The 20,123-nt window shown below is 46.5% G+C and overlaps 2 protein-coding genes across 12 annotated transcripts, besides 3 other annotated features; one reads left to right on the forward strand and one right to left on the reverse strand.

The window, feature by feature from the left end:
- Positions 1-252: 252 nt before the first annotated feature.
- Positions 253-5,323, reverse strand: THYN1 (thymocyte nuclear protein 1). Of its 5 annotated transcripts, none has more exons than NM_001037305.2 (8): positions 5,270-5,323; positions 4,811-4,887; positions 3,101-3,279; positions 2,246-2,314; positions 1,799-1,891; positions 1,138-1,233; positions 780-930; positions 253-455 (listed from the first exon to the last, which is right to left on the reverse strand). In NM_001037305.2, the coding sequence occupies exons 2-8, from the start codon at positions 4,851-4,853 to the stop codon at positions 409-411; spliced, it is 678 nt and encodes a 225-aa protein (NP_001032382.1). In that variant the 5' UTR covers positions 4,854-4,887; positions 5,270-5,323; the 3' UTR covers positions 253-408. The 5 variants fall into 5 exon arrangements, with proteins under 5 accessions (NP_001032382.1, NP_954995.1, NP_001032381.1 ...); NM_199298.2 differs by having other exon boundaries at positions 5,198-5,323; NM_001037304.2 differs by lacking the exon at positions 780-930.
- Positions 5,084-5,453: an enhancer, noted in NCBI's record as "active region_5771". NCBI's record gives its function as "activates an Ori minimal core promoter by ATAC-STARR-seq in GM12878 lymphoblastoid cells {active_cell/tissue: GM12878}" and the evidence as "EXISTENCE:reporter gene assay evidence [ECO:0000049][PMID:35858748]".
- ACAD8 (acyl-CoA dehydrogenase family member 8) lies at positions 5,539-17,826 on the forward strand. 7 transcript variants are annotated; one of them, XR_007062474.1, is made up of 11 exons: positions 5,539-5,680; positions 8,519-8,619; positions 9,059-9,228; positions 10,486-10,595; positions 10,979-11,055; positions 11,579-11,716; positions 13,015-13,150; positions 13,246-13,343; positions 13,709-13,861; positions 14,103-14,247; positions 14,491-14,574. XR_007062474.1 is itself a non-coding variant. In NM_014384.3 (11 exons), exons 1-11 carry the CDS (start codon positions 5,572-5,574, stop codon positions 16,929-16,931), a joined length of 1,248 nt encoding a protein of 415 aa, NP_055199.1. In that variant the 5' UTR covers positions 5,539-5,571; the 3' UTR covers positions 16,932-17,826. The 7 variants fall into 7 exon arrangements, 6 of the variants coding, with proteins under 6 accessions (NP_055199.1, NP_001428065.1, XP_047282724.1 ...); NM_014384.3 differs by lacking the exon at positions 14,103-14,247 and adding an exon at positions 16,879-17,826 and having other exon boundaries at positions 14,491-14,593; NM_001441136.1 differs by lacking the exon at positions 14,103-14,247 and adding an exon at positions 15,307-15,916 and having other exon boundaries at positions 14,491-14,593.
- Positions 12,552-12,601: a silencer, noted in NCBI's record as "silent region_4095". NCBI's record gives its function as "represses an Ori minimal core promoter by ATAC-STARR-seq in GM12878 lymphoblastoid cells {active_cell/tissue: GM12878}" and the evidence as "EXISTENCE:reporter gene assay evidence [ECO:0000049][PMID:35858748]".
- Positions 14,104-14,153: a silencer, noted in NCBI's record as "silent region_4096". NCBI's record gives its function as "represses an Ori minimal core promoter by ATAC-STARR-seq in GM12878 lymphoblastoid cells {active_cell/tissue: GM12878}" and the evidence as "EXISTENCE:reporter gene assay evidence [ECO:0000049][PMID:35858748]".

Consider the following 20,123-nt stretch of genomic DNA (forward strand, 5'->3'; position numbering starts at 1 on the left):
TGGGACCCAGAAGATGAAAGGGGCAGGTGAGCAAGGCTGGTGTAGAAAGAAGAGTTCATTCCAGTGGGTGTTACCAGACTGAGGATCTCAGCCCTACGTCATGCAATTTGCTACAGAACTACTAGTGATCGTAAAGAAAGAAGGTGGAGGCAGCTCTGCATCTGGGAGCGGCCAAAGGAGCCCGCCTGGAGGTAAGAGGTCTGCAGTGGGGAGTATCCCACTGCACTCAGTGTGGTTTTAGAAGAAAAGTTCTTCAACTTTGATATTTTATTGAAAAAAGTACACAAAAACCACTGAGGTACACAAGCCCAGGTAAGCATACCAAGCAAGCCCCCTCACACCTTTTGTCTGAAAAAAGCTTGACTTCTTTGCAGCAATGTCTCGCCCATTCCAGCAGCAGTATCTCAGTTAACTTGGTTCCTTTTCCTCCAGGCTCAAAACAAAATCAAACTCTTCTACAAAAAAAAAAGGGAAAAAGGAAGGATTAGTTTTTAATGTCCCCTCTTGAACAGGAAAGTTGTGCCAGGCACAGGTACATCTTACATGGTACTAAGGCGAGCAGTCATTCGTTCAAAACTATTTACCAGGTGCCAAGCACTATAGAGTACTGGGTAATAGTAACAGGTAACTCTGGCCACATTCCCTCCCTCATGGGTGTTACAGGTGAGGATGCTGACTGAGAAAGGTGAAGTACCATGCCCAAGTTTAATCAGCTAGTAAGTGGGAATTCATGAGGTCATTCTGGTATATGGACAATAAAGGAGAGGGCCCACTCTTACCCTGGGTCAGGGGCTGGATTGATAATCTCTGGCGAGTGAAGAGAACCATATTTTTTAAGGGGCCACCAGTAGCTTTGTGAGCTTGATGATAGGATTTGAGCTCAGCCAGGGGAATGAAACGTTTCATCATCCGAACAAACTGTACATCCACCTATGTGACAACAGTGTACATGACAGAAAGACGTGTCTAGGCTGACTGTGCCCACTGTATTTTTAACCGCCCACAGGAAGCTCCTATCTCAGTATCACCTCATCTGAGTAAGTGCTGGGCCGTGTACCTTGACCTACAGTCACCCCAACCGTCTTCTTCCCCTGGTTCATCCTTCCCCTGTCATGAAATAGAAAGCATAGTCTTTACCATGGACCACTTAGGGTTGTCCTCTTTGCTAGATGGGTCATAATGGGGATTGTTTTTCTCAAACTGTGTGTGGTCTGGGTAAGCCTCTTTCACGATCTGAAACCAAAACAAAAGCTTTGAATCATCTGCCTGCAGTCAGCTCCACAGCCAATCTTTTAATCCATATCCAACTTTCATTTCTTCCCTGCACATTCTTAACCCATCTGCCTTGCTGTACAGCCAATGGGGGCTCAGATATTTGGAAACAATATATAGTCTAATATATAGACTAGGAAATCAACTCTGTTTTTACAAAAGTCTTAAAAACATGCTCTAAAAACAAATGGCAAAGGTTATTACTGGTACCACTGTTTTTTTCCCCTCTGCACAGTTAATAATTTTATCCTGATAAGCTTGGAGGAGCTATCATCAGGCCTGTTTTCGAGTGAGATCAAGACTTAGAGGTGGAGTGAAGTCTGTGCTAGTCGGACCTGAATGAAGGCCTGCTTTGAGTTATCAGATAGGAAGGGGCCAGGGCAGTTTTTCCCTATTCCTGTAAAAGGGGGATGGGGTGGGGGGGAGTGTACTTTTTTGTTGCCTAATTAAGGTATATCCCTTTATATCTACTTAAGTTAGTCTCCCTGGAGGAAAAGGGATTCACACCAAAACCTGCCCAACTAACCTTCATGAGTCCTGCGATGCCTGGCTCTTTGCAGTTGCTATGGTAGAAGAAGGCTTCTTCTCCCAGCTTCATGGCTCTAAGGAAGTTCCGAGCCTGTCCCGGGAGAAGAAAGAGTAACTATCCTCCCACCAGCTGGAAAGTACTAGCTTTTAGCAGAAATCAAGTCTGCTTTTAATAGATGGGTGATTCTTGTCTGCAACTCCTCAATTCATTAGAAAGTCCTTCCCCTTTGCCAGGACACCCAGACTTTTACCAGGACATTGGCCAGAACACAGGCCAATTGAAAATTTCATGCAGAGTACTTAAGGCATTTTTTAATACATTATCAGGTTTGCTTCTGAGAAAAAGCAACCTTGGCCAAGAGGTTCTGCTACTGAGTACGTCATGAGGAGGAGGCAGGCATTCATCCCACCTGGGTCTCAGGCGACCTCCTCCTTACCCTCTTACCTGGTAGTTACGAACACCATCCCAGCATGTTGTCTGTTTGGGCTGTGCTTTGAGATCCTCAATGCTGAACTAGGCAAGAGGAAATAAATTCAATCATTAAACAATCCTTGGCCAGTTAGTAAGCACATATGGAAGCAGACAGTTCCTTCCCCTAAAATGAGAGGGGCCACTGGCTATAGAGGAAGTATGTAGTTCACCGGGAAGTGGCTCCACAGAGACACTTTTGCTGGGTGAATGTAAGTAAGCCTTGTGTTACCTTGTTATCCTTGCTAATTATGAGGATTAGCTGAATGAATAATCTAGGTGATAAAGTAATCTGCTAGTTACTTGCATTTTACTTTATATTTATAATAGTTCTGCTTATATTTTTCCCAGGCTATATTAAATTCCCTGAAATATACATCAACTGTTGGCAGGGAGACACCTAGGAGCATGGCAGGTGTTCAGAGAAAGGTAACCTAAGATTGAGGTTGGCAGACTATAGCCTTCAGGACAAATCTAACCCCATGCTGGATTTTGTGAATAAAGTTGAACTTGAACACAGCCACAGCTGTTTACTTATTATCTGTGGCCACTCTCTTGCTACAAGGGCAGGGTTGCAACAGAGACTGTAACACGCACAAGCCTACAAAATTTACTATCTGGCCCTTTGTGGCAAAGGTTAGCCAACCCCTGCCCTAGATACACAGGTTCACAAACCAGCTGATGATAATAAACCCTGCCGATTTTATTCATTTTTACCTTTTTCCTTCCCTTCAAAGATAAGAAGCTGGGGATGGAACCCTATGGTGTCCCATATTCACTTCTCATTTAAAAAACACCATGAAGGGACTGGAGACAGGTCAAGGGTCTCACCTTCACATCTACACCTTTCTCTAGGCGGCTCTCTGGCTCTGACTTCATCAGCCAGTGGCTGCTTAGATTCTTCAAACAGTTTTTAGTGGCTGAAGTCTTCTGAGGGTTGGAGTCCTCCACTTTAGCTAATGCCTCACCTGAGTTCTCAGTTTTGGTGCGTTTTCCTGATAGTCCCTTGTCTGCAATAGGAGAAGCAAAAAGAAAAGATCATGCTTGTTAAAGGCAATGTTTCATAATGGAAAAAGCTTAGCTTTGGAGTCAGACCTGGATTCAAATCATGGATCCATTACCAGCTGTAGGAACTTAATCTTACTGTTAAGAAGCTTTCCTTATCTATAAAAATTAGACAAGAATACCTACCTTACAGGGTATCTTCTGGATTATCTATTCAATAGGGTAAGAACACCTTACAGGGTTGTTCAGGATTAAAGGTCCGGACAGTAGTCAATACATGTTTTCCTTTCCTCACTCTCTCTTCTATGCCTTTGCATAGGAAAGAGGAAACTGAGCACCTACTTGCAACTATTTTGAAGCTTAAATGAGGTAATACAAAGGGCCTAGACAATGCCTGGCATTACAATAAGTGCATAATAAAAGCATTATTATTCTCATCTCATACGTCTTTCCTTCTTGCTCACTGTGGCTCCTGGCCCATCTCCTTTCTGCTCCTTGAAGGTGCCAATAAAAGTTGAAAGAAACAGTTCATTCAGGACATTGTAGAAAAATGGTGATGATTCGATTTCATCCCAAGACAATCAGAATGTGCCTGGAACACAGTAGGCATTCAGTAGCTAAGTTGTTAAATTACTATATGACAGGGCCCAAGGTCTATGTGTTACCCTAACCCTAACTCGGTTAATCTACATAACCTGTGAGATGTTCTACTCTTCATCTGGGAAGCATGCTCCAGATCACACATCCAGTAATGGTGGAATCAAGATATGAGGTCAGCACCTGTCACTGAGGTCTATCTGAAGCTACTTAATGACTATACTGCCTCTGAATTTAGTCAAAGTCCCTACATCAATTGTCATTAAATACCATTTATGGCTGTCTAATGCTCTGAACCCAGCATACCTTCCTAACCTAGTTTCCTAATGGCCCCTTAGGAGTTAACAGGCCCACTGCAAACACCACATATTGATAAATAACTGCAATGTGCTGTAGTATATCTGGAACCCCTGTCATTCCCAAAAGAGGTACTTTCTGTACCTTCCAATGTTCCTCCTCCTCCATCCACTTAGAATGCCATCCATCTTTGTGATTATAAAAACGACATCACGTTTTCTTAGTACTAAACTTTGCCCGTGGAAAGTCTCCCATTCTTCAAGGCTGGGCTCAAATTCCACATCCTTCTCGAGGCCTTCCCCGTGATTCCTCCCTCCATAAACTTAACAATCCATTTTCCTGAACCCCATCACATCTGTTTGCAGTTCACCCGCAAGCAGGCGCTTTATATTCTTTAGCACGCCACCTGGTATCTCAAAGAGTCTTTGTGCACAACAACCATTGCCTGAATAAACAAGAAAAAGGAACTGTAGGTAGGAGCTTGGTGAGACAAGTAAAGAAGATGGAGAGTGATTAAGGATAATGGAGTAAAAATATCACAAAGGGTTCTCAAAAAGCAGGGAGTGAAAAATGAGTACTAAACAGGCTCTTCGAGAAAAGTTTTTTCTTGGGCTGCCTTTGTGCAGCCTAGGGGCAGCTCACCTGAACCAGAAGTCCCAGCCAGCCTCTTCCGGGGTCTCGACATGGTCACGCTGCAGGGGACTTTAGTGCGGACGATTCTGGAATCAACGGAGATACAAGAAAGAATGCTAATGTCCTCCAAAACCCGCGCAGAGCGAGATGGAGGCAACGAGAGGCAGCCTAGAACGTCTCCAACTTTTGCGAAACACAGACGCCTACGTTTGAGCCCTCAAATCCTTCCCTCCGTTATCTGCGCCATTTCCATCTCGCATAACCTGCCCCTAAACTCTTCTCGGTTCTGTCCTTGGTCCTTCTCATCCAGGAACCCCTATCTCAGTATGTAGTTCACTGGGAAGTGGCTCCACAGAGACACTTTTGTTGGGTGAATATAAGTAAGCCTTGTGTTACCTTGTTATCCTTGCTAATTAGGATCAACTGAATGGATAATCTAGATGATGAAGTAATTTGCTGGCTACAGACCCAACACTCTGCAGACTCGACTGCGGTCCGCCTCCGCTGCGCCGCAGGCTGTGCAGCGCGACCCCCGCGGCGCTTGGTGGGCGGTGCATCTCTGCGGCGCCGAGGCCCCGAGGACTTCTGGGAATTGTAGTCCTGTCCCCTTGGGAGCCCGCCTGGCACCTGGGTTGTTAGGGCTCGTGGGAGGACTACAACCCCCAGGGTGCAGTGGGACAGGCGTTGCCGGGTCGCAGGTCCCGCCAGTGCGAGCGCAACGGAGGTCGAAGGCGTTCAGACTCTTAGCTGAACGCGGAGCTGCGGCGGCTATGCTGTGGAGCGGCTGCCGGCGTTTCGGGGCGCGCCTCGGCTGCCTGCCCGGCGGTCTCCGGGTCCTCGTCCAGACCGGCCACCGGAGCTTGACCTCCTGCATCGACCGTAAGGATCTCCTGGCGGGCAGTAGGACAGGTGTCCAGAACCCCGGCGGACATATGTCCGCGAGGGGCTGCAGTCTCCCCGTTCCATCCAGTCACCCCGGCGTCAGCTCCCCTTCCGGCCAGTCACCCCCCCGGCCTGGCTCCCTACTCCGGCCGGTCACCCCCGGCCTGGCTGCCCCCTCCGGTCGGTCACCACCATCCGGGTCCCCATCTGGCCCGTCACCCCTGCCCGGGTCCTCCTCCGGCCGGTCACCCCCGCCCCGGTCCTCCTCCGGCCGGTCACCCCCGCCCCGGTCCTCCTCCGGCCGGTCACCCCCCGCAGGTTCCCCTCCGGCCGGTCATCCCCCCGCAGGTTCCCCTCCGGCCCGGGTCCTCCTGCGGCCGGTCACCCTCGGATGCTTAGAGAAGTGAAGAAACTTGGGGCTTGGTTGTTGTTGGGTTGGTTGGTTTTTAATCATAACAGTAGGTCATAAAAGCAGTGAGAATATAAGAAGCTGGCTGGGTGCTGATGGTGACAACTGCACAAGAACTCCAGGTCATACAAGATTTGCTCACACACAAAGATTTGGTATCTTAACACCTCTGGCTATAAGACACTTTTAGTGTTGAAACTCATGCAGGAAAAATAATTATTATTGCCAGTGGGAAACTCTACCAGAGCTGACAAACTTGAGTGTCTTTAGGCTCTGAACAGTAATTTGAATGTAGCGAGGAGTGGTGGAGACCCGGCCAGTTTGTGACTTCTCTGCCAAGAATGTTTATAAACACTTTTTTCTTCTGAAATATTTTTAAATTTATTTTAAATAAATGGCAGTTTTCTTTACAACAGAATAAGTCCCTTAGATATCAGATCTATAAAGTACAGTAAGGCATAGAATACTGTTTTCTTCTGAATGTCCTAAAACTCATTCAAGAGGTGCTGCCCTGGCCTAGCGCTTAGAATTTGATAACCCAGATTACCCTGGTTGATACCGAAGCAGATAAGGAATTATTTAGAGGTGGGTTTTGTTATTGTTTGCATCTTGCTTACACTTGAGTGGCTCTGCAGTCAAAGGCTTTTCCCATTTCATTTGGAGTGTTTTTCTATTTAGCTTTACCTTTTTAGTGTATATGTATTGGCATCTTGAGCTCTGCTAGTAACTATGTATTGGCATCTTGAACTCTGCTAGTAACTGGCAAAGTTCATGAGTGGTGGTATTTGTTTTGTTTTTATACTGTATTTCCTTCTGGGAACTTGTGTTTACTTATGCATATGATTTGCATAAAACTATTTCCTTCCATTAGAATGCAACTCAGATTTATTTCTTAAGCCTGTGGTTCCTTGAACTATTTGTTTTAGGAAGTAGCCATTTACAGAAGAAGAAGATTTGTTAACATTTAATGAGCTCTTGCTAGGATTGAAATAGTCATCCTTTGTGTGAATGGATCTTATTTATTTATTTTTTTGAGATGGAGTCTCTTTCTGTTGCCCAGGCTGGAGTACAGTGGTGCGATCTCAACTCACCGCAACCTCTGCCCCACGGGTTCAAGCAATTCTTGTGCCTCAGCCTCCCAAGTAGCTGGGATTACAGCACATGCCACCATGCCCAGCTAATTTTTATATTTTTAGTAGAGACGGGGTTTCACCATGTTGGACAAGCTGGACTTGAACTCCTGACCTCAAGTGATCCACCTGCCTTGGCCTCCCCAAAGTCTGGGATTACAGGCATGAGCCACTGCGCCTGGCTGGATCATATTTATTTTTGTAACCCCAGCACTGCTACCTAGTAAACACCCAATAAACATTCTTTTGGAAATGATCTTTGAGCCATGGTCTACAGTAACAGCAACCCTTGTACAAAATTGTGTGAATAAATGGCCTGACCCCAGTCAGAGAACCATGAATTGTTTATCCCTAACTCTGTTCCTGAGGGTAATACCCAACATAGGTTTCTGCTCTGAGTTTCTCAAGGCAGCCTAATCGTTAATCCTCAGAACTCTTCATTTCTGACTTTCCCATTTTAATGAGAGTACTGATCACAGAAAGCAGTGCCCTCTCCAGGCTCGCATAGCCAGCCATTACTGATGCCCAGATTTGCCCCAAGGAACAGACTCTGGCACCTGCCCTTGTGTTCTTCTGTGAGGACTGCATCGCTTGTAGGCACTGAAGTAAATTATTGCCAAGTGTGGCGCCATAGTCTTCCCATAGTGCTCTTTTTTCTTTTTTTCTTCTTTTGAAACAGAGTCTTGCTCTGTCACCCAGGCTAGAGTGCAATGGCACAATCTCAGCTCACTGCAACCTCTGCCTCCTGGGTTCAAGCGATTCTCCTGTCTCACCCTCCCAAAGTAGCTGGGATTACAGGCATGCGCCACCACACCCAGCTAATTTTTGTATTTTTAGTAGAGGCGGGGTTTTTCCATGTTGGTCAGGCTGGTCTTGAGCTCCTGACCTCAGGTGATCTGCCCGCCTCGGCCTCCTGAAGTGCTGGGATTATAGGCGTGAACCATCACGCCCAGCCCATAGTGCTCTTCAGTGTCAGTTATAATGACCAAAGTTCTAGCACTGTGGCCTCAACCTCTAGGTCTACAACTGCATTTTACTAAGTGCTAGGATAAGAGATGTCTGGAAGTCCCCTATCCTGTTCTAGGTTGATCTGGATGTGTGCTAGAACTGTCCTTTCTCCATATGACAAGTGGAATAACGACAGAAGCTGCCATTCTCTAGCTGTTAAAGGCTATACCGTGTATGGGAAATACTACAGTAGATCCACTTTCACAACTTCGTGGTGCTTCTTGTTGGCAACACCTTGTTGGCAACACTGACCCTGTCCTAGAACAGTATATGCAATCCTGCCCACAGCTTCCATGGGACTTAATGAAGAGCAGAAAGAATTTCAAAAAGTGGCCTTTGACTTTGCTGCCCGAGAGATGGCTCCAAATATGGCAGAGTGGGACCAGAAGGTAGGCGTTTTTCTTGTGCTTAGACGTTCTAACAACAGATGTCTCAGGCAGACCTTTATCTTTGTCTCCTGATAATGTAATTGTTAAATGTCTCCTCCACTTACCAACTCTTACTGCAAGTGAGAATACCGGTAGTGGATGATTTTTCCTAGAAGGCATCCTGATCATCTTGTACATAACTTTTTTTTTGTTAGTTGAATAAAGATTTGGATATAAAACTAAGGCAGTTCTATAGATAATAAAAAGAAACTTCTTAATGCCAGAACAAGTTTTTACAGGACCCATGTTAACTGATAACCACTGTAAGATGACAAACAGGCATATTAAGAGAATTCATACGCTGTCGCATGTGCAAGCCTCCTAATCCCTCACTGTGCCCTCTAAAAGGAAGGCCGTCTCTGAATCAGCTGCTGATCACCCTGCTCTCTTTTGTACATAGGAGCTGTTCCCAGTGGATGTGATGCGGAAGGCAGCCCAGCTAGGCTTCGGAGGGGTCTACATACAAACAGATGTGGGCGGGTCTGGGCTGTCACGTCTTGATACCTCTGTCATTTTTGAAGCCTTGGCTACAGGCTGCACCAGCACCACAGCCTATATAAGCATCCACAAGTGAGTGCCCAAGCTTGGAAGGCACAATGAAGTGCTCACTCGGGCTGACTGTGAGAGTTCAGATTCGTAGGAAAAAGATTGATCTTTTGAAGCTGAGTGTCCTCAAGGAACTGGACTTAAAAGTACACTCTAGGGGCCGGGCGCAGTGGCTCGTGCCTGTAATCCCAGCACTTTGGGAGGCCAAGGCAGGCAGATCACGAGGTCAGGAGTTTGAGACCAGCCTGGCCAACGTGGTGAAACCCCGTCCCTGCTAAAAATACAAAAAATTAGCCGGGTGTGGTGGCTGGCGCCTGTAGTCCCAGCTACTCGGGAGGCTGAGGCAGGAGGATGGTGTGAACCCGGGAGGCGGAGCTTGCAGTGAGCCGAGATGGACCACTGCACTCCAGCCTGGGCGACAGAGCGAGACTCCATCTCAAAAAAAATAAATAAATAAAATAAGTACACGCTAGGTCTGTTGCTGCCTGTTGGACTTGATTCTGTCATCCTGTGTATTGCTTAGGGAATCAGGTCAGCCAGCTTTCTCAGAAATCTTATTTTGAGCTGGTACCAGGAGACTTCTCCAATAGAGTGATCAGGGTCCTCTCACCCTTTTATTTATTTATTTATTTTTAAGACAGAGTCTCGCTCTGTTGCCCAGGCTAGGGTGCAGTGGCATGACCTCGGCTCACTGCAACCTCCGTCTCCCCGGTTCAAGTGATTCTCCTGCCTCAGCCTCCTGAGTAGCTGGGATTACAGGCACGTGCCACCACACCTGGCTAATTTTTTTTCATATTTAGTAGAGATGGGGTTTCACCATGTTAGTCAGGCTGGTCTCAAACTCCTGACCTTGTGTTCTGCCTGCCTCGGCCTCCCATAGTGCTGGGATTACAGATGTGAGCCACCGCACCCGGCCCCTCTCACCCTTTTCCTCAATCCAAAGATGGAACTGCCAGTGATTTGAGGAAGTAATAGAAACTACTAATAGAAAGCACATATAACTCTGATTTTTAGAGGCTCGTGTAACCTAACTAGAAGTAGTACAAACGTGCTGGTGAGAAGTACCTCAGCCTGGTTATCTCTGGGTAGTCCTTATTCCAGGAATATGTTTTAATCCACCGTTTGCCTTTAAAGAGTCTTCCCAATTGTGACTCTCCCCTTCCCACTCTTCTGCTTTACTCCACTGCCCTGCCCTTTGTTCTCTTTCCCCTTCTCCCCCATTTTTTTTTCTTTTCCATCTTTATTTCTGTCATTGTCTTTTCTTCTTGGTGTACCTATCAGCATGTGTGCCTGGATGATTGATAGCTTCGGAAATGAGGAACAGAGGCACAAATTTTGCCCACCGCTCTGTACCATGGAGAAGTTTGCTTCCTACTGCCTCACTGAACCAGGTGAATTTGCCACACTGCACTGAGATATAGCAGGGAGAGATGCTTCCTGCTCAGATGGCATTACCGAGCACTCCTTCCAGCCTCTTGACATGTCGAGCCACTGTTTATCTAGCTGTTTGGTTGAGGAGTAATAGAGTCCTGTGACCTGATGTCACAAGGACCAAGAAGCCTATCTGGTGTGTTGGGAGGTAGGCAGTGGCCTGACTGGTATGAGCAGTTTCCACCAAGTACAGAGAGTTCCTTTGGCCACTTGGGTTTTGCAGTGACACACTCTGAGCAGGGTCTGTTTAGAGAAGATTTCCTAGAAGATAGAATTGTGCTGGGCTCCCTCGACCTCACTGACTTTCTCACCTTCTCTCTGCTGCCTTTTGATCCCTCCTCAGGAAGTGGGAGTGATGCTGCCTCTCTTCTGACCTCCGCTAAGAAACAGGGAGATCATTACATCCTCAATGGCTCCAAGGTACTAGCGTGCGTCCTCCCAGAGCACTTTGGAGATTGTTCCCAGCTTCCTCCTGACATCCTCTGGTTCCTTCACATCCGCGGGTTAATACTCCCATAGGATTTTTATGTGTTGGGAAGAGAACCTCTGACCCATTTCTCTTTCTTTATTCTCACTGTTTGTATCTCTCCTAATCTGATTCCAGATCATTTCGTTGACTTTTGTCTATCCTTTTTATACTCTCTTGGACTGCCTCTCTGATCTGCAGTCACTGCAGCGACCTTTTACCTCACCTCAGTCTCTGTGCCATTGGACCTTATTGTCAGTCTCTGTGCCATTGGACCTTATTGTCAGTCTCTGTGCCATTGGACCTTATTGTCAGTCTCTGTGCCATTGGACCTTATTGTCAGTCTCTGTGCCATTGGACCTTATTGTCAGTCTCTGTGCCATTGGACCTTATTGTCAGGAGGACCCAGTGGTGTTCCCAGACGCTGTGAGAACTCAAGCATTCCCTGGTCCTTTTGCACCCCTTTTACCCCCACAGGCCTTCATCAGTGGTGCTGGTGAGTCAGACATCTATGTGGTCATGTGCCGAACAGGAGGACCAGGCCCCAAGGGCATCTCATGCATAGTTGTTGAGAAGGGGACCCCTGGCCTCAGCTTTGGCAAGAAGGAGAAAAAGGTGAGTGGCTGTTGGACAGGAAACAATTCAGGTTATGAGACTCTGCCACCTGCCAGCCCAACTCCTGCTCTATTTCAGAAAACAGGTTTGCATACTTGCTAACCTACCTTTGAAGCAGTTGCTTCTATTAGGATTTTCAACAGGAGCATATGAAATACAACAGGGCATTATTAAACACTAGGCCTCTGGGGAAAGTGACAATGTTTGCCAGTAAATTCTTCAAGCCACCTGTGAGTGTTCTGACCTCTCCTGCCTCTGCTTTTGGCCTGTGTTCCTTATCCAGCTGCTTACGTTGGTGCACTTTGTTGCTCCAGGAAGAGACGCTTAGAGAAGACCTGGTGTTGGCCACAAGTCTCAGTAATGGAAGGCGTGTGGTCCCTTTTGCTTCTTTGATTAAAAATAAAGTAAAACTCATTGGAGATGATTGTGGGTATTTCAGCAACCCAAGAAGGACACTTAGGTACTGTAAGTAATTTGAAAAGTAAGATACTTCTAGGATTAAGAGCCGCCATGGCCAGGGCATGAACAGGAGACTTGTGATCATGTAACCGTAATTGGTAATAAGGGCTCAAGACCCATTCAGATTTTTTAGACCAGATGCTCAAAGCAGTCATCTCTCTCTAGTTTGTACTGTTATGGGGGGACTTTGTGAGAGAAGGCAGGTAATGAAATGACCCCTAAGTGTACCTCTTTCTCACAGCTCCTCGGGTTTCTGTATTTTCCTACAGGATCCTTCCTGATCCTCTGTAACTGTAAGGCATTATGCATTTTAGCATCCCCTTCTCTTTGGTAACACAGCAACCATTTCCTAGGCTTCTACTGTGTGTGAAGCCCATGCTAACTCCTGGGCAGGAAGACCTTCAGTAAAAGGCTTAGAAATGGAGTTTATCCTATCAACAAAAGAGAGCAAGGAAATGATGTAAAGGCAGTCTATTTTCAGAGCCAGAGAGGAACTGGGAGATTGTAGATAGTTTGTGGTTTTCAATTAGAGGCACTGAAATTGGGGGCAGTTGGTGTCACAATCCTAAAAGAAGTTGTGAGAAGTGTTTGTAGGTTAGTCAGGTAGAGTAGACATTAGTAGATTCTCTTAATAAGTTAGAAAATGTTTAGCTGAAACAGGTATCTTTCTGAGTGCTGACAGGCCTTTAAACCTGAACTTTTTCTTTTTCCTCATTTTAAGTTCTTGTGGGTCTAAGTCTTGGGTGCTGAAACCCATACCTCACAGGCTCCCGTCCCCAGGGAAGGCCGCCCTACCTGCTGGATTGTTGGGCAACCACGCAGTCCCTGATTTTTGCCAGGTGGGGTGGAACTCCCAGCCAACACGAGCTGTGATCTTCGAAGACTGTGCTGTCCCTGTGGCCAACAGAATTGGGAGCGAGGGGCAGGGCTTCCTCATTGCCGTGAGAGGACTGAACGGAGGGAGGATCAATATTGGTGAGATACGCAGGGGTGTGGCAGGGAGGTAGCGGTCCGGGACAGGCACTGCTGTTTTCCAGCTTGGTTGGAACGTCGGCGCTCTTCCCCTCTAGCTTCCTGCTCCCTGGGGGCTGCCCACGCCTCTGTCATCCTCACCCGAGACCACCTCAATGTCCGGAAGCAGTTTGGAGAGCCTCTGGCCAGTAACCAGGTAACCTCTGCCTTGCCTCCACATGGCTTTGCACTATTTGCAGCCCGGGACCTGCTCTAGGGCCCACATTTCCAGGAGAGAAGCCAGGAAATTCCTCTGTCAGTCCCACCACTGTCCTAGCCAGAGCTTGTGCTTTATTTCTGTCCATCTTTTCTTGGGATATCTTTAACGATATTAAAGTGTCGGGTGAGTGAAGTGGACTTAGCACTTAAAAGCAATAAATTTCCTCTATAGAAAAAGCAAGAGACTTTGAAGCTTTGGATCACTTAGAAAAGGCGCCTCCGAGATGTCTTACCGAGGCTCCTGCACCAGGTGCTGGTCTAAGCCCCTCAGTCTTGTCTGGTTCTCTGCTCCCTGTGCTGCAGTACTTGCAATTCACACTGGCTGATATGGCAACAAGGCTGGTGGCCGCGCGGCTGATGGTCCGCAATGCAGCAGTGGCTCTGCAGGAGGAGAGGAAGGATGCAGTGGCCTTGTGCTCCATGGCCAAGCTCTTTGCTACAGATGAATGCTTTGCCGTAAGTGATTCCTCTGGCTCTCCTGGGATGGACAGGGAACAGCTGCTAGGCCCAGGGGTCTTGAGAGACATGAGTCAGATTTGGAACCCAGCCCTCCTGGAATCCCACAAGGATCACCTTAAGCTTAAGGATATAAATGAACTCATGAGCGGCCTATGTGGGAGCTCTCATCGCTGGCTTTTAGGCCTGCTGCATGCCATTATACACTTCATTATGTCACTGTTGTTTGGTTGTGTTCTAGGCGAGAAACCACCTTTGGAAGGTTCACAGCAGCCCCAATTTAGCACTCTGCCATGTTTACATTGTCAGGCTGCATTGCCACTAGGGGGAACCATAGCTTTTTATCATCCCAGCCAGGGTGGCTGTGGGCAGCTTCTGCCTGGCAGGTAATAAGGGAGAGGGGCAGAGGGCTTTGAGTCGCCTGTCTGGGGGGAACTGACAAGTTTAGTAGGTGAACTTCCCTTGTCTCTAACCATACAGAATGTGGAGGCCCTCTTTGAGCTTGGCTGTTTGTGGTTCTTTCATGGGTTTATGGCGGGCTGCCAGATCGTGGGCTGGGGTAGGAAGGGAAGCTGCTTGCTCCACAGTCTTCCCAGAGTCCAAGACGTCTAGTCCCTGTCTCCCTGCAGATCTGCAACCAGGCCTTGCAGATGCACGGGGGCTACGGCTACCTGAAGGATTACGCTGTTCAGCAGTACGTGCGGGACTCCAGGGTCCACCAGATTCTAGAAGGTAAAAATTGCCAGAGGTTATTCTCTTCCCTTCAGAACGGGGGCGGGATCGCTGCTTTCCCCACTCTCTGTCCCCATGCCTCCTGGGCCTCAGGGTGCAGTCAAGCCCTGTCTGTCTCGAGGCTTCCTCCTCCCTCCCGTTCCGCAGAGCTGTTCTGGCAGGGGCCTGGAGTCCAGAGCCGCAGCTTCGTCCCTTTCGGGGGGCCTCAGATCGCTCTGCTGCTGCCCTTTTCCTCTGGAGATCTGCGAGAAGGGTGAACTGAGATAATGGATGAGAAAGCATGTTGAAAACCACAGCCGGGGCTTTTCTCTAAGGTTATCGAGTACGTGGTTCTCAGGGATCCAAGAACAGTGATGGACAAGGCAAATGTGAGCCAGTATGGTCATCAGTAGCTCTATATTGATTATCAGCCAGATGGCCTAAAAGATACCTGTCTCAATATTACTAGTGTATTTTTCAATAAAATAAACCATCACTATATGGGTATCTTCTTGGTAGTCACAGACATTCTATCGAGGAAACATGGAAGCCGTTGGGGTCGGGCTCGGAGCCTGGCTGTCTCCACTCTCTACAGCCAGTGCGGAAGTCTTGAAATGACACGACTCTTGGAAAAGCAGGAGGGGCAGAGGCTTCTTTGAGTGACTTCGGTGAAGCAACGTGAGGCTGCCTTGCTGGAAACATTATATAATGGGGCTTCCCTGCCCCTTTCACAGCACCCTTCTCAAACCTCAGCCTGTGCTGGAATCGCCTGGAGGGCATGGGAGCGCAGATTGCGGGCCTCAACCCCAGAGCTTCTGCTCCAGAGGGTCTAGTGTGGGCCTGGGAATTTGTATCTGCAACAAGTCTTCAAGTGAGGCTGCCACAGCTTGTCTGAGAACCACACTTTGAGACCCACCGCTCTGGTGTTAATGTCAGAGTCACAGGCTACCACAGGTTAGACCGCTGCTTTCTTCTGCAAACCTCATTCCAGAAAGATGTTTATGGGCTCAGTCGCCAGTGTTCAAACTGAATTCCCGAGAGTCGTTTTCCTTCCATTACTCTTGGAATTGCTTTCTCACTGAGCTTTATGTGCGTAGGAAACTTCGCCTTCATTCTAACTCTCTCTCCACCCTGCAATAATAAGCAGGAAAACATTTATTGTAGGCCACACCATCACCCACTTACAGAAGAATTGGGGCACTCATCACTGTATCACTTTGTTTCATCATGGACTTTACTGTTGGATAAATCTACAGTTTATGCTTTATTTGAGACGATGTGACTACTGATTCCTCGAGGGGGTTTATATTTCTTTTTGCATTAAAGGCCACTGCTAAAAATGAAGCAAATAATTGATACCCTCCTTTCAGGGAAAATGTTTTCATTCTTTTGTAAGTCAGTTTTCTGATTACCAAAGAAATGTGTATTTATTGTTGAAACCTTATAAAATTAGGAAAAGTAGGCTGGGTGCGGTAGCTTATGTCTATAATCGCCGCACTTTGGGAGGCTGAGGCGGGTGGATCGCGTGAGGCCAGGAGTTCGAGACCAGCTTGGCCAACCCGGTGAAGCCCCGACTGTCTAAAATTATAAAAAGTTAGCTGGGCGTGGTGGTGCATGCCTGGAATCCCAGCTACTCGAGAGGCTGAGGCAGGAAGATCGCTTGAACCCAGGAGGTGGAGGTTGCAGTGAGCTGAGATTGCACCATCGCACTCCAGCCTGGGTGACAGTGAGACTCCATCTAAAAACAATACAAAAAATTAGCCGGGCCTGGTGGGGCCTGGTGGCACATGCTTGTGGTCCCAGCTACTCAGGAGGCTGAGGCAAGAGAATTGCTTGAACCTGGGGGGCGGAGGTTGCAGTGAGCCAAGATCACACCACTGCACTCCAGCCTGGGCGACAGCAAGACTGTCTCAAAAGAAAAGTAAAAGAAAAAAAATCACTCATGTTTCTACATCCAGAATGTTATTTTGGTACATCTCCTTTTAGGCATTTTACTCTGCCTTTGTTGGTACATTTTTAATTTTAATTAGAATTATCCTGTATATACTGTTTTTATTCTGCCTTTTTAAACTTTATATAAGCATTTTTACCATCAGAAGAAGTTTTTAAAAAAGTATTATTTCCTGACATTTTTCAGTACTTTGTAGAGAAGTCTCTGATAATCTCATCTCTCCCAGGCTAAAAGCAATGATTGTAGTTTAAATCTGCAGCTACTCTGAACTAGGCCTGGAGCAGCCTGGTCAGAGCTTTACTAAACTCTCAGACTTTGCTGCTGTGAAATTCTTCCTCCTTCCTCCCTCTTACAGGTAGCAATGAAGTGATGAGGATACTGATCTCTAGAAGCCTGCTTCAGGAGTAGAACCCACACTTGTTCTGGCCTGGTGTTCAGTGCGACTGCAGTCAGTGTTGAGTGGTGCCATGTGGGCCGCTCTATTCCAAAGGAATCATGGATTAGACCCAAGGGCTGAGCTCCTCTAGGGCAGGACCTGCACCCTGTGTGTTGGCACCAGCATCGGGTCTTGGACTGGGGCAGAATCCCCAGTGGAACCGGAAGAGCTGGACTGATGAGAAACATCAGAAGAACACATACTACCTTGTTTTCCTAATGCCAGAAGGGTGACCAGTGAAGATTCACCGTCAAACCATGAAAGTCCTTTCTTGGATCCACTTTATCTTGATTAGTCTGCATTTTACTAGTTCACTGGATCCCTCCTCTAGGGGCCTGGGGACTTTCACTGATGCTCTTCCTGATTCTAGAGCAAAGGTGTGGGAAGGGGAAATGGAGGAATGCCCTCCTGTCTGTGTCGTTCTCTGTGCCACAGCTACAGATGCAGAAGGTTTCTCTGGATAGCACACCTCTGAATGTAAATCATGATAAAATGGATATTTGGAAACTTACTCCTAAGCTGTGATTTAGGGTGTATTTCTACTTCTGGACTGCCTCAATATCAAGGGCTGAGACTTTTGAATTTTGAATATTCGTTGGGTTTCATGTTAAGAAGCCTGTGGTCTAGGAGTGCTATTCAGTGTTTCTTTTCCTGATAAACACTTTGAATATTTTTTTTGTGTTTTTGTTTCCTTTTCTGAAGCTGTTCCTCCTTTTAAATATTTTTAATCACATTGATAAAATCTATCCTTCACCACCTCTGGTTCTACTATAGTTGATTTTTATTTTAAATGTTTAATTGTATTTGATTAAACACTTAACTGGATTTTGGAATAATAAAACTCTCGTCCAATTTGGCTTTTAAAAAGCAGGCTCCTTAAATTATTAATAACTTTGCAAACTAAGCATTGTTTATGATGTATGAAAGTAGAATTAAAGTGAGATTCACAGATGGGACTTCAGGAGACCTTGTTTTGTTTGTTTGTTTGCTGTTTTTTGTTGTTTTTGAGACAGAGTCTCGCTCTGTCGCCCAGGCAGGAGTGCAGTGGCACAATCTCAGCTCACTGCAACTTCTTCCTCTGGGGTTCAAGCGATTCTCCTGCCTCAGCCTCACAAGTAGCCGGGACTACAGGCGCAAGCCACCACGTCCGGCTACTTTTTGTATTTTTAGTAGAGACAGGGTTTCACCATGTTGGCCAGGCTGGTCTCAAACTCCTAGCCTCAAGTGATCTGCCCACCTCGGCCTCCCAAAGTGCTGGGATTACAAGTGTGAGCCACTGTGCCCAGCCAGGGGAGCTCTGTTATAACTTACTATGTTACTCCATCCCCTCATCCCTATTGAAAAGAATACGCAAGACATTAACTACAAGCCAATGTTTAGAGAGAAGAGAATATGTGTCTGTAACAACAACAAATACTGTCTTTTTTGAATGAAGGAAGTTTTGGGTGCTGCAGGAGGACAGGGTGTGGGCACACTACAAAGTTTAAAATGTATTCCTGCCGCCCAAGGCCTTATTTAAGAGGAGCTAAGAGCTGTATTGCAAGGCAATGATATAGATCTGTATAAAGCTGAGAAGGCGACAACCTATAAAAGTGATGAGGGAGGAAGGGATTCAAATTAAGCTTTTATGAGAATGTGGTCAGGCATGGTGGCTCACACCAGAAGTCCTAACTACTTGGGAGTCTAAGGTGGGAGGATTGCGTGAGCCCAGGAATTTGAGGCTGCAGTGAGCTACAGTCATACCGCTGCACTCCAGCCTTGGTGACAGAGTGAGACCCTTGTCTCTGAAGAAAAGAAGAAAAGATTTTATGAAAACGTCTAATTAGAATCAAGAAAGTCAATTTCAGACAGGAAGGAACCAGGAGCAGGAAAAGTACAGGATTTATGTAAAAGCTGTTTACACTTTGGTTTAATTGTGGTTTGGGGTTGGCATGAGACAGAAGGAAAATAGAAGTTGAATCCGGATGGAGAGTTATGAAAGCCAAGGGTGGGGCTTTATTTGGTAAGCAGTGGAGAGCCATGGAAGGTTTTTAATGCGGAAGATAGGAGATTGATTCATTCATAAGAGCACTCTGGAATGCACATGTGGGATGAATATGAGTGAGGCAAGACAGAAGACATACCAGTCAATGGGTTCTTGAAATAGTCAAGGAATGTGGCAATTCACGCTGGATGTGGAAGGTGGAAGGAAAGACAAGTGTTAGCAAATGCAGACCTGTCTGCTGTGGAACTTGAAGACCTTGCTAGTAGTCAGGCTGCTTCCTGGCATTCCAGGCCTGAGAGGCTTCTATTTTGACTCAAAGCAAAAACAAATGCTATGTTAATGTCTTCCTATGTGTCCCCTTCATAAGATTTTGGTGAAATCATATTAAAAGTGCATTTCTCAGTATCACTCTCAGTTATTTAGAGATTTCAGTTCCCCAGTACCCTGGCAAGGGATTTGACGAACGTAGCAAGAACGTCGTGAACTTTGAGCTAATTTATATCATTGTTCATTTGTCTGTTTAATAAATAAAAGCAAGAAAACCAGAGCAACAAATGTCTTAAGGAAAAGCCTGTGTGTCAGGGGCTGTATAGGTGCAGAACACATGCAGGTAACCAAATACAACTTCGCTGGACAGACCTAATGGACTGGGGGCTGGGAAACAGGAGACACAATTTCAGTAGGAGGCGGCAAGGACAAAGGCATACACCACGTGCTCTGAGGCATGAGAGGCCTTGCGGTCATAACACAATGACTTAGGTCAGAATTGGATTTCCACGTGGTTTTAATCCTAATAATTCCTCAAACTGCCTCCAATTATTACAGTTGTGAGGAAAATCTAACTGTATACCCACACACACACACACACACAAGAATATTTACAGGATCTTAAAATTTTCTCTTCCTCCTTTATAGATTTGATAAATTAGAAATGCCTTTTTTACTTTAGTGCTGATCCAATGATACTTTTACTTTAAAAACACTAAGATTCCTCCAAAGCATTTTCCATGTATCAATCTCTCGGTTTTTATGAGGGGTTCTTGCACAGAGGAGACAGTCAAGAAATCCTAGCGTGAAATTGACTTGAGGAAAACAGCAACTACCAGTGCTGGCAGCAGCCGCAGTTTGGGCCCCGGATCCAGACTCCTACATCTAGATGTGATTGCCTGCTCTGCCACTG

The sequence above is a fragment of the Homo sapiens genome, chromosome 11 (genome assembly GCF_000001405.40).
Source record: "Homo sapiens chromosome 11, GRCh38.p14 Primary Assembly".
In the NCBI taxonomy this organism is placed as follows: domain Eukaryota; kingdom Metazoa; phylum Chordata; class Mammalia; order Primates; family Hominidae; genus Homo; species Homo sapiens.

Excerpts from the sequence above, each read along its gene's own strand:
- THYN1 (NM_001037305.2), bottom strand. The coding sequence starts at position 4,853 with ATGTCGAGACCCCGGAAGAGGCTGGCTGGGACTTCTGGTTCAG. Across the intron at positions 1,892-2,245 it reads ATGGTGTTCGTAACTACCAG|GCTCGGAACTTCCTTAGAGC; the intron begins GTAAGAGGGTAA and ends CTCCCGGGACAG. Across the intron at positions 456-779 it reads AATCCAGCCCCTGACCCAGG|AAGAGTTTGATTTTGTTTTG; the intron begins GTAAGAGTGGGC and ends TTTTTTTTGTAG.
- ACAD8 (NM_001441136.1), top strand. The coding sequence starts at position 5,572 with ATGCTGTGGAGCGGCTGCCGGCGTTTCGGGGCGCGCCTCGGCTGCCTG. Across the intron at positions 8,620-9,058 it reads TGGCAGAGTGGGACCAGAAG|GAGCTGTTCCCAGTGGATGT; the intron begins GTAGGCGTTTTT and ends TTTTGTACATAG. Across the intron at positions 9,229-10,485 it reads GCCTATATAAGCATCCACAA|CATGTGTGCCTGGATGATTG; the intron begins GTGAGTGCCCAA and ends TGTACCTATCAG.